General features: G+C 44.7%; 1 protein-coding gene across 3 annotated transcripts in view; it reads right to left on the minus strand.

Annotated features, from left to right (window-relative positions):
* Positions 1-16,502, minus strand: part of DGKG (diacylglycerol kinase gamma) — a 215,034-nt gene that overhangs the window by 12,356 nt on the left and 186,176 nt on the right. For all 3 annotated transcript variants that reach the window (NM_001080745.2, NM_001080744.2, NM_001346.3), the window contains 2 exons: positions 5,342-5,462; positions 2,047-2,107 (listed from right to left, as the gene is read on the minus strand). In NM_001080745.2, coding sequence (NP_001074214.1) covers positions 2,047-2,107; positions 5,342-5,462 — 182 coding nt within the window. The remainder of the gene's footprint in view (positions 1-2,046; positions 2,108-5,341; positions 5,463-16,502) is intronic.

Below are 16,502 nucleotides of genomic sequence, written 5' to 3' on the forward strand. Positions count from 1 at the left end.
TCTAATTTCACTGGTTTCCATTTTTACCAAAAGTTCTTTTGGGCTGTGATAGTCCATTCTTAAGGCTTTAATTTTGAATCACTTCTTAGTTGGTGTATACCTTCAAGAAGATGTTTCAACAAGGGGTACATGGGTTTTAACCCTTGCAAGTTTAAGAATGATTTTCTGTTACCTTCTGTTATGGAATAAATTGTGTCCCCCCCAAATTCATATGTTGAATTCCTAACCCCCAGTGTGACTATATTTGTAGGTAGGGCCTTTAAGGAGGTAATAACGGATAAATGAGGTCACAAGGGGCGGGGGGGCCATAATCCCTTAGAACTGGTGTCCTTATAAGAAGAGAAAAGAGTGTACAAACACAGAGGAAAAGCCATGTGAGGATACAACAAGAAGGCAGCCGTTGGAAGTTAGGAAGAGAGGCCTCCCCAGAAACCAGCCCTTCCGGCACCTTGGTCTTGTGTTGTCAGCCTCCAGAACTGTGAGAAAATAAATTTCTGTTGTTTAAGCTGTCAGTCTGTGGTATTCTATTATGGCACTCAAAGCAGACGAATATACCTTTACATACGGATTTCTGGGCCTCACACTATGAAATCATTGGTTCACAAATTTTTTCATAGTGAGTTGTAATCTCTAAAGGGTGGTATGGAGGAAGGGTGGGTGTGGGCATAGGGAGAAGCATTTGGCTATTTCAAAATCCAGTGCTTGAATTTATAGGAATAGCAATCCAGTTTTCAGCTAGGACTGAACCAGGTAGGAGAGGGTTTGATTTCTTCCACCTTTTTTTTTGTAGGGGGGTTGGAGATAAAAGGAACTTGGATAGATTCTTCTCAACTCAGTTCCATCAAATGATAAATAGTAGAAATTCCCTCTATGCGTCCTAACTCCAGCAAGGTGGAAAGCTATTATTTGATATAGTGTGTTTTCATTTTTTTCTTGGTCTTCATAAGATTGAGGTAAGATTTTTGCAGAGAAATTTCTGTTTTTGATAACCTTTATAGAAGATGCTACCTTTTCTCAGCAGGTTCATGGAAACCTTCCTTTAGTAGAAGACAATTTGATGTTCTGGAGGGCTCAAAATAGCAGGTGATCAAAGTATCTGAATACTCCACTAGAGTGAGGAAGCTTAGAAACTCCACTTTTGTCTTTTGAAATTTGCATAGCTGCAATCTTATTGAGGGTATTACGCATGTAGTATCCCAGCAGAGGCCCTGAAAACCAGGACGACGATTGCTCTTCACCACGAGATTCTAGCTGCATTTCTAACTGAGGACAAACTAAGAAGGAAGGATGCATGGCTCCTGTCCTAGTGCTAAAGGGAGAGCTAACGGATATGGTAAGTCTGGGAATGGAGATAGTCTATTTTTGTTAGTTCATTTGTTCAGTCTTTTATTCATCATTTGACATGTATTATTGTGCAACTATTACAAACCAGGCACTGTTCTACGTTCTGGGTGACAGTGCCATAAACAAAATAGATAACCTGCGTGGTGACTCATTCAGTGGAATTTTCAAGTAGGTTATCAGGGCTTTGGGTGCACCGACTGGGAGGCATGTCTGTGCTCTGCGAGGAATTTTCTCCCGGGAGCTCCAGCAGTCAAAGGCGCTACCCTACCAAATTCTAGGTAAGGTAAGTGTGTAGATTTGGCTTCCACGTAAGGAAGCAATTTGACTTGTTCATCAGCAGAACAGTCTTCCTTTTGAGGTAGTAAATTCCTTGCCATTGACATGATTCAAGCTGAGGCTGTCCAGGATACAGTAGATGAAGTCTCAGAATTCACTGACTAGAACTGTGAACTCCTCGAAGTTGGTTCTATGTCTCATTCAATTTTGTGACCGGCGCTTCACAGTGTCTGGCATATAGCAGGTTTTCATTAAGAGTTGCCAGGTAAATGAGTGGATGGATAATAAAGTGGAAGAGGGGTTGCACTAGATAATCTTCCACAGTCCCTGTGACTCTGAGATTCAGTGATTTCATATTAAGTCAGTGCCCAAAAGGGCTCAAAAATAAGGCTTCTCATCCCCATCTCAAAGATTGGCAAGACTCACCGTGCAACATGGCTGCATCCAGGGTTCTCCATCCACTTGCATTGGCAGCAGCTTGTTTGTCCTGGAACCCAGAACACCAAGAGAACACAGTGAGCTTTTTCAAGTGGGAGAATCAAGGTTATTCCCACCAGGAAAACAGAAGTAGGAAAACCTTATCTGCCTACCTAAGTGTGGTTCTCTAAGACTCTTTTGGAGAACTTGTTAAAAATAGATTTCTGAGACCACCTCAGGGAGTCTAACTTGGCAGGTCTGGGGGCCAGGCCCAGTGGTCTGTGTTTCTGTGTCTGTGTGTGTGTGTGTGTGTGTTTTGAGATGGAGTTCCGCTCTTGTTGCCCAGGCTGGAGTGCAATGGCATGATCTTGGCTCACTGCAACCTCTGCCTCCCGGATTCAAGCAATTCTCCTTCCTCAGCCTCCCGAGTAGATGGGATTACAGGCATGTGCCACCACACCCAGTTAATTTTTTGTATTTTTAGTAGAGACGGGGTTTCTCCATGTTGGTCAAGCTGGTCTCAAACTCCCGACCTCAGGTGATCCGCCTGCCTTGGCCTCCCAAAGTGCTGGGATTACAGGCATGAGCCACTGCGCTCGGCCGGGTCTGTGTTTTAATAAGCACTACAGGGGATTCTACTGCCTCGGTCCTCAGACCCCACTTTGAGAAATACTGCTGTGGATGAGCAGTGAAGTCCACAGAAGTCTGGGATACAGTGGCCAGTGAGCGTGGCAGCGCCACCACTGAGCAGGTGCTCCTCAAACAGTCAGCTAGAAGGCCCAGAGTACGTGCCAAAAACTCCACTCTGAAAGGGGAATTGGCCTGGTCTCTATGTTGAGTGAGAGGTTGCATCATGTCAATGAGGTAATGTCTCCAATTTATACAACATACAGCTCAGGTCTGAGTGTGTCTTGCCTTGCAATCTATTCTAACCTCAGTCCTGGTTTTTGTTTTGTTTTGTTTTTGAGACAGAGTCTTGCTCTGCGCCCAGGCTGGAGTGCAGTGGCACCATCTCGGCTCACTGCAAGCTCTGCCTCCTAGGTTCACACCATTCTCCTGCCTCAGCCTCCCGAGTAACTGGGACTATAGGTGCCTGCCACCATGTCCAGCTAATTTTTTTTTGTATTTTTAGTAGAGACAGGGTTTCACCATGTTGGCCAGGATGGTCTCGATCTCCTGACCTCGTGATCTGCCTGCCTTGGCCTCCCAAAGTGCTGGGATTACAGGCGTGAGCCACCGCGCCTGGCCCAACCTCAATCCTTTTTAAAAATCTCCTGAATAAGCACACTCTGGGGTTGCATGGACTGTGGGCCTGGCTTACCTGGGAAAGGGGGTCATCTAGGAATACTCTCCCCAGAGGAGAGGTGAAAGTGTTGCCTTCTTGCTTGAGGCAAGGCTTTTCTGACCTTGGCATATGAATTTTTTAAAAAGAGACAGGGTGTCACTCTGTTTCGCAGGCTGGAGTACAGTCACATGATTATAGCTCACTGCAGCCTCGACCTCCTGGGCTCAAGCGATCCTCCTACCTCAACCTCCTGAGTAGCTAGGACTACAGGTGCACATCACCACACCTGGCTAATTTTAAAATCTTTTGTAGAAGGGGGTCTTGCTATGTTGCCCCTACTGGTCTTGAACTCCTGGCCTCAAGCAATTTTCCCTCCTCAAGCTTCCCAAAGTGTTGGGATTACAGACGTGAGCCACCACAGCCCGCCATAGGTTTTAAAAGGAGAGAGATGAAGTCTTCTGACTTCCCTCTGCAGAAGAGTTATGAATTCATAATACATTGCTTTTGGAAGAAAAGGCAGGCTCTTTTGGAGGCCTCTGGTCTGGGTGAGCAGGGAACAGTTATCACCCATTGACATAGAAGCCCTCACCTGGGTATGGCAACTGTTCTGTTCTTGAAATTATAAAATGGGAGGGAAAAGCTATCTTCTGATGTGATGATTCTCTGATTGACCCTGAGGGTATTTAATAATAAAAACAATAAATCTACTAACAAAAACAAGAGTAAAGAGTGGCATTTTGGCTCTTGAGGCTGGGGATAGTATTCAGGAAATGGCCAGGAGGATGGGGCTCCTGGCTCACCCCCTCTGTTTCTATCTGGAAATAGAGCTACTGAATGTGAAGAAAAAGTCCTCCTCCTTATACATGGCTTTCAGATTCCTCAAGGATCAGGATGTTCTGTTCTCTGTGGTCTTCATAAGTTATGGCTTAGATGTGTTAACAGACTGGACCTCCTCAGTATTAGAGTCCTGGAGAATAGACAGGCCTCAAGAATTAATCTGGAAAACAGGGACCCCATCATGACAACAGCTCAGAAAGAAAGGAGAGCAAAGCTTTGGGGAATAGAAAAGACAGAAAACAAAGAGGGGAAATGAAGAAAAGGGGTCAGTGGAGCAGACCTTCAGCTAAGAGACCTCAGGGAATCCGCTCTGGGGACCTTTCTGAGGAATGCAGTGTGGTGCCAAGGGCAGAGTTTCTTCCAATGTGCTCTGATGACACTTGCCCAGGAGGTTCTGGGAGAAAAGAGTTCTGTGGTCAAATACCTTTGGGAAACCCAGTATCCTGTGGACTCCTCTCGGAGATCCCCAAGGCATGTTAATAGATTTGGTCCATAGTAATTCAGTGAAAAAGGAAAGGAATAAAGACTTCTGAAATAATCAGGTGGGAGAAGAATCTCAGACAAAATGTGATGAGCTGCATTGATTAATCAGAGGCAACTGAAATCAGAGGATCCTCTCGATTAGACTTCATCTCTTCCAGGAGCCTACAGTGGCTAACCTGTGTGGTCCATCCCCTAGAGTTGTCATCCTGTCTGTCAATTATGCCAGTTTTGCTGATGTTGATGGCTTAGCATACAAAGGTGTATAGGAAATAGTGTTTCTCAGGTCACTGTCTGAGAAGGAGTAGAGCAGAGAAGAGACATCTTTTTTTTATCAGAGTGTGCCCTCTGGCATCCCTCTGCCATCTATCTAACATTTTAATTTGCAAATATAAAAACACCAAGGAGTTGGACCTTTGGTTCTCTGGACCATTTAATCTTATACTCCTGTTTAGAGAACTTCACCAGCTCAGTTTAACAGAACAGCAAACTGGTTGTGGTGTGTCCTCCAGTTGATGTTTTAGATGGGCGCATTATATCCTGTTTGGGAAATGGTCTACAAAGACGTTCTTTACAAACATTATCAAGCTTTTGTGCTGCACTCTCCCTGCCCTAAAATCCAAAGATGGCTTCTCAGTTGTCTGCATGAATGTGTACGCAGGCGGGGAGATGCAGAGGCTGTTGGGTGACAAAGAGGCATACCTGATGGTGACAGAGGCGCACTGGGCCAGCCTCCTGCCTGCACTCTTCAGGCCGGTGTAGATCTGCCCCATCTCCATGGCTCCTTCTAGCCCCACCACTTCAAGGAGCTGGTCACTGAGGTCTGCAGAGCGAGACAGCAAAAGTAGTGCATACACATCTCTGTGTTCCTCAGACAAGTTCTGGCCAGAAAGTCTGGTCCCCAGATGGCCAATGTCTGTATCCCTTCATCTCCCACCAAACACCTTTTTCATATTCACTCTGAATAGGGTGTTTCCCCAAAGATCAATAAATGTACCTTTTCATGAGGAGATGGTCAGTTTTAGTGAAAAAAGATTTTGATTCAGACATCATATATATCCAATAAATAGGTTACCATATCAAGAAGTCTCTTCAAATGTAGAGTGACATAAATGATGAACCAGCTATTTCTGATTATTTTCAACCCCTATGCAGCTAAAGACATATTGGTTTGGAACTAGGATAGGAAGGAATGTTAATGAGGGCCATTACCCAAAGCTGGACCAAGTCTCTCTTCTCTGAATGTCTGAATAACATTTGGCCCCACTGACAATGACTGATGGTTAATTAACCTCAAATTTGGCCTGTGGTAAGCCACTGGTGAGCCAGCCTCCTTGGACGTCCTCAGGAAAACCAATGACCTCTTTCAGGACACCAGGTGCCTAATCCAAGCCAAGGAAAAGAACATTTCACCAACATCAGAGTCTGTGAGCCCACAGTAGAAAAGGAGGGGCAGGAAGTAGGAGGCTCAGGCTCAGAGTCACTCAGGACCAGTGGTCTCCCACAGTGGGATTTGCTTCTCATTCACAACCTAGATGAGGTCCTTTTCTTCAGCATTGCTGAGGCTTGGATGGTGCTTCCCCAGTTTCTTGTGAAAGCAGTAGCAGGATTAATGTTTGATGTTGGGCTCAAAACTCACTTTTCCAGCACAACTTTCATTTATTTAAAACAGAAGCAAAATAAAACGGCAGATTTTAAAAAAGCTTTCCATTCCTTTGCCTACCAAGGCAAGAGTAGCTTTCTCATAAGTTGTGGCTAATCACTAACATCCTCTTAATATCCACAAACTAGAAAACTGTGTCTATGTTAATGCTATTGCTTATATAACAGGTGGCTTCTGTCTTCTAAAGTGCCTCCTGGTATAGTATAACAGTGTTAAGATTGGCAAGGAGATATTTGAGTTTGTCTTTACTCTTGTTTAGAAGGCTAACTATTGTTTAAAAAACAATCTCTTGACGGATGTATTCCTAGTGAAGACAGTTAAACAAACCATTGGGCTGACCACAAATGTGTCAACATTGCTAGTCTAAATTACTGACGATCACTAATGGACATCACTAATGGACATCAGCTGCCAACAGATACACGGCTTGCATCAGTCTTTCTGTGACAGGCACATAGCTTTCCCCCTCTACATCTACTGACAATCACATTCTGCCCTAGTACTCCTTTCTTCATGTTTGTGAAAAGATACTGTCTCCTTAAACACTCCATCTCATTTGGACTTGGAAAAAGAAGCCAGGAAAGGGTAATGTTTGTTTAGGAGAATGCTCCAGGCTCTCTGAAGGAGTTTGGACCTAATAAACAATGAATGTCTAAACCTCTAGTCACTTAATTAGCCTCCTTCTTACCAAAGAGGGTTGAATAACGTTGGATGGTCTAGCTCACTGTGTCATTCCAATAGTGTCTGTGAAAACAACATGGGCTATAAATGTGTGTGTGTGTGTGTGTGTGTGTAAGATAAAGACAGAGAGAAGGAGGAGGGAGAGGAAAAGGGTGAGGAGGAGGAGAGAAAGGTATAGAGTATGTCTAGGGGTGAGGGGGTTTGAGGGTTGATGTTGGGATAGGAGAGAGGGGGAGAAAAGAGAAGCAGAACTTTGCAGAAGTCTCTTGAGTGGCAGAGACAGATGTCTTGGAAACTGTTGTTCTTTGTACCAGGCTTTGGTGTCTGATGGTGCTGTGATAGTCCAATGTTTTCCCTCCTTAAAACATTCCCTGGTAACAAAATGTTCTAAGAAGCAGGGGACTTAATAGACTCAAGTGTTTCAGCTTTACAATGTCTTGGTCTTTTAACAAATTTTCCCGTTGAATGGCTTTAACTCCGAAGTTGTTATCACTTCCCACACATTACCTTGCAGCTATCACTTCCCACACATTACCTTGCTTCCTGGCTCTAGAAGAGAAGTAATGAAGGCTGATCTCATCAGCATGGTGGGTGGGTGGGGGCAGGGGCTTACACAGATGTGGGACTGAGGAGATTTGTAGGGAAAGGGGCTAGGATCTTGGCATACTGTTTGCCATCCTGCCTTTGAGTTTTCCCTGGTGTAGAGAGGCTGAGATGACTACCACTGAGGCAGGACCTGGTTGCTCTTTTACTTCTCTACCATTGCCGAACTCATCTTTCCTTCTACTTCCTAGAATGCCTACAGAGGTCTTGAGGTAAAGAAATCTATGTAACATTGTTTCCCAAAGTTATAAGACCACAAGACCCTTTTCTTGTGTGTGATGCCTATAAACAACCCACCGCTTCCATTTTTTAGGAACGCATTTTGGGAAATTCTGGCATCACTTAATCCCCTTTACTTCCTCTATCACAGAGATACTCAGGTACAACTTAAATTTGGAGTTAAAATGAAAAAGAACAGAATGCAAGTCAGTGTCTAGGCACACAGAGGAATTAATGTTTAGATTGAGACATCTGGTATACCAGGTGTCTGTTTTACCTTAAGCATCAATGATTCAGGGTGTGATTTTGGCAATTCATGTCATCTCCATATTGTCTTTACACTCTTCAACTGACTAGTATTTAAGATGGAATGTGTATGCACCTTAGTAAAACAGGAATTCACTCACTCACTCACTCACTCACTCACTCACTCACTCACTCATTCAACAGTTACTGAGTAACAACTCAGTGCCAGACACTGTCTTGTAAGAGTTGGGATGCAAAATGTTCTATTCTTGAAGGGCTCTTAGCCAAGAGGGAGAAACCAAGTTAGGTGTAGAAAATGCTGCAATTGAACTGCAGGATCAAGGAAGCCTGAGTGACTGATTCTGCTGGGGCAAAGTACAGAAGGCAGGTGTCCCAGACCTCTAAAAGAGGTCTTCAAGGATGAATGAGCGCCAAGGTAATTTTTGGGTTGAAAAGAGGAAGGAAGAAGGACATTCCAGGCACAGGGATGATCATGTGTGGGGCTGGAAAGTCACAGGATGAAGAAAAAAATAATTAAGCAATAAACCTACTTGGCAATTTCATTGGAAAATATAAAAAGTATTTTTTCCTAAGGAGAATTACTGTCCAGAGACTCTTTTTGGCCAGAGCTAGAGGAAGAGGGTCTCTGGGCCAGCATGAGCTTGTCACATCCATAGAGCTAGGACTTTCAATACTGCTCTTATTTATTCCTTGGTAGCAAAGCCTTGTACAGTGTTTTGTGTGTAGTGAACATATAATATAAGCACTCCAAGAAAAGAGGATGATAACAAATGGGAAAATAGAAAAAGGAGAATGTGGAGGCAAGGGAGGAAAAGCAAGGACAACAGTGGGGGTTCCAATCTGGCCCATCCAGTTCAGCCTCCAGGAAATGCAAATCTGATTATGTCATCCCCATATGAAAAATCCTCAGTGGCACTCATCATAATACCAAGTGCTGGCCAGGCATGGTGGCTCACGCCTGTAATCCCAGCACTTTGGGAGGCTGAGGCAGGCGGATCATCTGAGATCAGGAGTTCAAGACCAGCCTGGCCAACACGGTGAAACCCCCTCTCTACCAAAAATACAAAAAACATTAGCCAGGTGTGGTGGTGGGTGCCTGTAATCCCAGCTATTTGGGAGGCTGAGACAGGACAATTGCTTGAACCCGGGAGGCAGAAATTGCAGTGAGCCAAGATTGTGCCACTGCACTCCAGCCTGGGTGACAGAGTGAGACTCTGTCTTAAAACAAACAAACAAACAAAACACCAAGTGCTGGGGAACGGAATATGCAGTGTGCATACTTTCACACTGAAAACGTAAACTGATAGGAAGGAAACAATTTGGCCAATTTTACTAAGTATAAAACTTCCTTGCTGCTTGATCCATTAATTTCTTTCTTGGTATTGATCATGAAAATCACTGATAGAAACTAAGTTCATACAAATATGTACATTGTGGCATCATTTGCAACAGGAAATCTCCCTACCCCCATTTCTTCCTGTATGGGAATAGTTAAATAAGTGAAATAAGTGATATGGTATCTATATGATGAAATTTTTTTGCTGACATTAAAATATTTACAAAGTTTCAATAACATTAAATATTGTTTATGTTAAAATGTTAAGTGTGAAGGCAGGATATAAACTTACTTGTATAGCATTCTCTCAACTAGGTAAGAATATGCATAAAAGAAAAGGACAAATCCCAACAAAATCTTAACAGTGGTGAGTTCTAGGTAATTAAATTAAAGGTAATTGTTATTTTCTTCTTTACGCTTTTTGGTATTTCTTATTTTTTATAAGTGTGCATTAATGTTATAACAAAAGTCATGTATAAAAACATATCAACTGCTCTTCACAGTTATAAAAATAATGCTCACATTCCCTGGTTTGATGCCCAAGGTCCAATTCCCATCTGGCAAGGGGCTGCCTCTGCAGTTTTACTTCCTGTCTTTGTGGGGCTAGATGCCTGCCGCAGACATACACAACATGTCATTCCCCAGGCAAACCCTACTGTTTCCTCCTCTGTGCTTTTACATGTACTCTACATATACTTTCTCCCACTTTCACTTGTCTATCAAAACTCAGGTCAAGTGTCATCAACTTCCACAAGTTCAAAATGAACTTCAAACTTCTGTGCCTGCAGTTTGACTTAGATGCTCCTCCTCAAACCCTCCCAGGTAGATATAGTCAAAGAAAGAACAAGGAAGATAAGGGCATTGATGATATTGGCTGTGGGCAGGAGATGGCTGCAGTAATTACTGTGCCACAGGGTCTGGGTTGAATAGGAAAGGAGATGGACTGAATGAAAAGGGAGAAGGTGAGTAAGAGACTTAAGGAGTTCTAGAAAAAGCTGTTCTGAGACAGTGAAAGAGAGGGTTGGGGAGAGGTGCTGTGAAAAGCACTAGCCGATGCACAAATTCCACCTGTAGTCCCAGTGGTGGGCAGCTGAAGTGGATGTTGGAGGGTGGGATTAGAGTCTAGGAGAAATGAGGCTAGGCCAGTGGTTCCTAAACTTTGCTGAGCGTTAGAATGACCTGGGGAGCTTTTAAAAACAACAATGCCAGGTTGCACCCTATACCAATTAAATCAGAATGTGTGAGCATAGGAGCTAGGCATCGGTCTTTGTTTTTAAAGATTTCCAGATGATGAAAAAATGAGCACAGTTTGGGAACCACTGGGCTAAGTTATTGGGTGGATCATTCCCATTGGTCAGTGGTTCTCAAAGTCTGGTCCTGGACCGGCAGCCTCAGCATCACCTGGGAACTTGTTAGAAATGCAAATTCTTAGGCCACACCCCAGACCTACCCAATCAGACAGTCTGGAGTTTGGGCCCAGCAGTCTGTGTTCTGACAAGCCCTCTGGAAGATTCTGAGGCGTACTTAAGTTTGAGAACTTGGGCCTTAGGCAAGAAAACTGCCCAAAATATATACAGAAGTTGGAGTGAAGAAGAATGTCAACAAGTTATTTCATGACTGCTTTGATCTATTGCTATTTCAATGGAAAATTTGAAATAATAATATTGACCTCAAAGTGGGGTTATGAGATTTAAATGGCAGACCTGAATGTGAAAGTGGCTGGCACAGAGTGGGCACCCAAAATACATTAGTTTCACTTTCCTTTTTCTCCACATTCACCCGGACAACTCCCAATGGTCAGTCTATCTACCTTCTTAGAGCTGTGTACAAGAGTCCCTAGGCCGTAATATTAAGGCTAAAACCATTTTCTTAAATCTTCAATATTCCTCATAGTTTTACACTTCCTGTAAAAGTCAGAACTCCAGATGAGCTTGACACTGATGAGTAAATGCTAGCAGAACACTCTGGGAAACATCTGACATGTCCAGTCTTTCTTTGGGAACATCTGGAAGCCAAAACAAACAAACAATAAAAACAAAAAACAAAAACAATGTTCAAGTTCCTTAGCTAGGTGTGCAAACATCCCTCTGCTTGGACAACTCCTGTTTAGCCTCCTGGGATGCCCCAAGCACCATGCTAGTTCCTTCTTCTGTGCTTAGATAGTGGATCTCACCCAACAACTGTCTCTGTACATATCACTCTCTCAACTCCATTGCGAGTTGAAGGCAGGACTGTGTTCTTGTTTTGTTTATCTTTGTATCTCTAGCAACTAGACCAGCCTTTGGCATATAAAAGGTTCTTGATATATGTTTGTTGAATAAACTGAATAATATAGATGCTTTAGAGCCAAAGACTTTGACAGGTTTGGCCAGAAGAAGGAAAGAGATAATAATCAATAATAATAATAATAACTATAGTTGTCTGCAGTTATCAATGGGGGATTGGTTTTAGGACCCCTGCAAATACCAAAACAGATGCTCAAGTCCCTGATATAAAATAGTGTGGAATTTGCATATAACCAGTGCACATGCTCCTGTTACTTTAAATCATCTCTAGCTTACTTATAATACCTAACACAATGCAAATGCTCTGTAAACAGCTGTTATGCTGTATTGTTTAAAGAATAGAGACAAGAAAAAATGTCTACATGTGTTCAGTACAGGCATAACCATCCATTTAGAAAAAAATCTTTGATCTGCTCTTGGTTGAAGCTACAAATGCAGAACCCATGAATATAGAAACCTGACTGTACTTGCCCAGATTGTACTGGGTAACAGGCTTTCCATGAATTCACTCATGTAATCTGCATATGACAGTCAATTTCTACCCAGCCTGGTTTTTGCCTCTCTCCTTTATTGCATAATTTTTCTGTCCATTCTCATCCCAGTTGCTTTTTTTTTTTCCCCCGATATTTGGAGTCTTGCTTTGTCTCCCAGGCTGGAGTGCAATCGCATGATCTTGGCTCACTGCAACCTCTGCCTCCCAGGTTCAAGAGATTCTCCCACCTCAGCCTCCCAATTTTCTGGGATTACAGGCACCCACCATCATGCCCAGTTAATTTTTGTAGAGATGGGGTTTCACCATGTTGGCCAGGCTGGTCTTGAACTCCTGATCTCAGGTGATCTGCCAGCCTTGGCTTCCCAAAGTGCTGGGATTACAGGTGTGAGCCACCGCGCCCAGTGCCCGCTTGCTTTTTTGCATTAGTGAAAATTCAATCAATCATTTAAGAGGCAGGGGAATCTCTGGGTGTCCTGATTTGGACTCGCCTTTTGCAATGCCTTTGGGAAGTGTGGGATATCCTTAGCTTAAGAGGATGCTTTGCTACCCTCAATCCCACCCCCACTCCACTTCCCCTTCCATCAGCACACCAGGGTTCAGGTCTTGGGGCTGCCATGGAGCAGCCCAGGGAATCAAACAACCCTGAATGGAGGGGCAGGGCCCCTGACTATGTATGGAGCCAACAGAATTTCTAAACCACACCACCATGGTGGCAAGGAAGCCTGCCCCATACCTTAGAGCATCTGTGTCATGTGATAAAACCTGTGGGCCCTGTCTGTTTACCTGGGTTACAGCAGCACTGGCGTGCTGAGATGTTAGGTGCTATTGTTTGGGCTGGAATCCTGTCAGTTCAGTGGGTAATGCTAGTTAGCCAATGCTCATGTTGAGCTCTTACCGGGAGGGGTATGCATCTGATTCATTAGAAATGCAAACAGGAATTTGTCACTACTTAATAAATAGCCACTGATAGAAAAACTGTAGTCACAGAGGTAAAGAAAAAAGCTGGGAAACTCTACACTAAGTTCTTGAGGATGGGACTAATATCTTAATTGCTGTGTCATTTAGGGTAGGTCATTTGTTCTCTCTGAGCCTGTTTTCACATCTTGAAAATAGGGGCTGTATTAGTCAGACCAGGCTTCCACAAACAAGCAGCCACAGGCTGGGGGCCTTAAACAACAGAAATGTATTTTCTCACGGTTCTGGAGGCTGGAAGTCCAAGGTCAAAGTGCCAGCAGGGTGGGTTTCCTCTGAGACCCCTCCCTTTGGCTGGCAGCTGGCTGCCCTCTGGCTGCCTCTTCACAGGGCCATTCCTCCATGCATATGGACCTTGGTGTTTCTCTGTGTTTCCAAATCTCTTCTTATAAGGACACCAGTTGGACTGGATTAGGGCCCACCCAAATAACCTCATTTTAACTTGATCACCTCATTAAGGCTCTGTCTCCAAATACAGTCACAGTCTGAGGTGCTGGGGGTTAGGGCTTCTTTGACGCACGAATTTTTGGGGGACACAATTCGGCCCATACAGGGATAATCATAAACCCTACTTCACTGTGTTATTTTGAGAACAAAAGAGATAAAGAATATGAAAGTGATCTGTAAAAAGCCATGTCCCTTATCATTGTGCTACTGAGAAGCTGACAAGCGCTGGGTGTGTGTGGGAACCTCTTAACCTCCTCAGAAAGAAAAGACACAAGCCCAGCTCTGCTTACAGTGGGGCCAGATTCAGTCCCCACAGTCTAGACAGGTGAGTGGGAGCTGTCAGGCCTCTTTGCAGACTTAGCCCACTAAGGCGCCGGCAGGCATGTCCTCGGGCTCCTCTCCTGCCTCCAAATTTCCATGGAGATGGGCATGTGTCCTTGGTGGCTTGGGCACTCAAAGCCCAACAAGGCTGGGCACTGCTCAGCTCCTCTGAGCCTCCCAGTTGGACTGGTCTGCACAGATGAAACACTGCTCCTGGCGAAAGAGCTTCAAAGTGCAGCTCAAAGGCAATGTAGCCTGAAAAAAGCCTAGGGGTGGGGAAACGGAAAGAATCCCTAAAGACTGTTTCCTGATCTTCCACAGGGCAAGGGGACTGGGGTTCCCCAGGAACAAACGAGTAAAGAAGGAAAGCTCTAACTGGTCCATCTTCATCCCCCATGTTCCTGCCTGGCCTCTCAAAGCACCAGGCCTTCAGGCATCCCAACCATAACTAAGCTGAAGAATACTCTGTGATTAATGCTTTCCCCAGAGAAACTGACCCTGTCATGAGGAGAGAGGCAGAGGGCTTATTCCTTGGTCTTCCATGAACCCAGCACAGAGAATGTACCCCTGTGACAGGTTGTGAAACAGCACGAGCTTCGGACAGAGTTGGGTCTGATCCTGTCACTTGGGAGAAGACTCTTAACTTTTCCGAGTCTGCCTTTTATCTGGAAAATGTATTAATAGATACAATAAGTCACTGGCAGGGTTGTCTCGAAGTTTAGAAGGGATGCCCTCAAGTACCTTGTATGAATAGGATGGGATCAGAGCAGCACACAGAGGGCCCTCAAGAAACACTTGCTCTTACTGCGATTTTATGTTTCTTTAAAAAGGGATGTACTCAAGAAGTTCCGACTTTGCTACACAGTAAGTGCATGGCCTTCTGTAGATGGTAATTAATGTAACTTAGAGAAGGTTATGGAGGAAGAGGAAGGCAATGAAAGGGAGGGAGGGGAAGGATAAGTGAAAAAAAGGAGAAGGTTGGGGGAGGATTCTGAAAAAGAGAAAGGCAGAGAGACGGTAAAGAGCAGAGAGATTATGACCTTGAGAATTTAGGGTGACTTGCCCCTCTGGCAAGTGAAGCATCTTTATTCCTTTTTTTTCTTTTTACTCCAAAACAGGGAGGAGCTCACCCTTTTATCTGAAAATGAACTCCCCTCCTTTCCCTGCGGCTGTGTGTGTGTGTGTGTGTGTGTGTGTGTGTGTGTGTGTGTGTGTGTTGCAATCCCACAACCATCCAGGTTGCCTTCTCTTGTTCCTGGGCTGAGCAAGGTGGGAGCAGAGCAGGTTCTAGACATCTTTAAGGCATGGGTTGGATACTCTTAGGCCAGTTGGGTACCCCGCTCCTTTGTGCCATGCCCTTGCCACACTGGCTTGTGGGTTTCTGCTACTCTCAGGGCTCTGTAAAGCCCCATCAAAGCATGTAAGTGGCCAGAGGGCATTGAGTGGCCTTTGAGTCTGGATAATCCCATTGGGAAGAGTTAGGAAGGAGAAGCAGGGAGAACCACTGCTTTTGGAGGAGGAGAGGCCTGCAGAGCCTGAGGGAGAAGCGACATGTGGGCCCAGCGGGCAGGACTGGAATTGTGGTGTCTGTTCTGGCTCTGTCTAATTGTGTGACCTGGAAAAATCATTTCCCTCCTCAGGGCCTCAGTTTCCTCCAGTTGAGGATGGAGGCATCCTATCCCTAAGGTCTATTTATGCTTTTCCAGCCAAGATGGAGGCTGGATTTCCTAATGGGCTGAGTCAAGGGCAGATGGGTAGGAGACCTCACCTGTTCTCACACTGTGCAGAAGACAGAACATTCAGTACAGCCCTACACTGAGGCAAGAGAAAGTGTGAGGCCCTGCACACAATGGCCATTGTTGTTGGTTCCTGAAAACCTGCTCGTGTGGTGGGTGGGACGGGAAAAATGTGTCCTCCATTCTGTGTGGCTTTATCTTCTGGGATTCTCCAGGGCTCCGATGAAGGCGCTGTATGTTGTGGGAGGTGGACTTTGAAAGCTCTGTGCATGAGGGTCAGGTGCTTCAGAGGGGGAGGCAGTGCCCCGGCAGAGCTGTGTGGTGGGGAATGTCCCAGTGGCTCTGAAGCAAGGGTCTGACAGGAGCCTGCCTCTAAGAGAAGCCAAGGGTGGGGATGTCCTTTAAGGCCTGGGAGCCAGCAGAGCTATGGAATCTTGATCTGGTGGTCCCGGTGAGGTCCAGTGCTGGGCACAGACTCCGCAGCCTAGAGCTTTACAAAGGACAGAAGCAAGAATCGACACATGGGATCTAATTAAACTAAAGAGCTTCTGCACAGCAAAAGAAATGATCAAGAGAGTTAACCGACAGCTTACAGAATGGGAGAAAAATGTTGGAAACTATGCATCCAACAAAGGTTTTTCTTTCAATCCTTGTGGCAACTCCATTAAAAACTACTATCCCAACTTAACAACAACAACAAACCCTTCAGGCTCAGAGGCTAAGAAACTTGCCTAATATCAGATAGCTGGCATACCCTAAAGCTGGAATTCAAACCAAGGCCCGATTCAAAAAATAAGCTCATTTGAAAGGACGCAAGGCAGAGACAAAGTACCTTGCAGT

Source organism: Homo sapiens, chromosome 3 (genome assembly GCF_000001405.40).
Source record: "Homo sapiens chromosome 3, GRCh38.p14 Primary Assembly".
In the NCBI taxonomy this organism is placed as follows: Eukaryota; Metazoa; Chordata; class Mammalia; order Primates; family Hominidae; genus Homo; species Homo sapiens.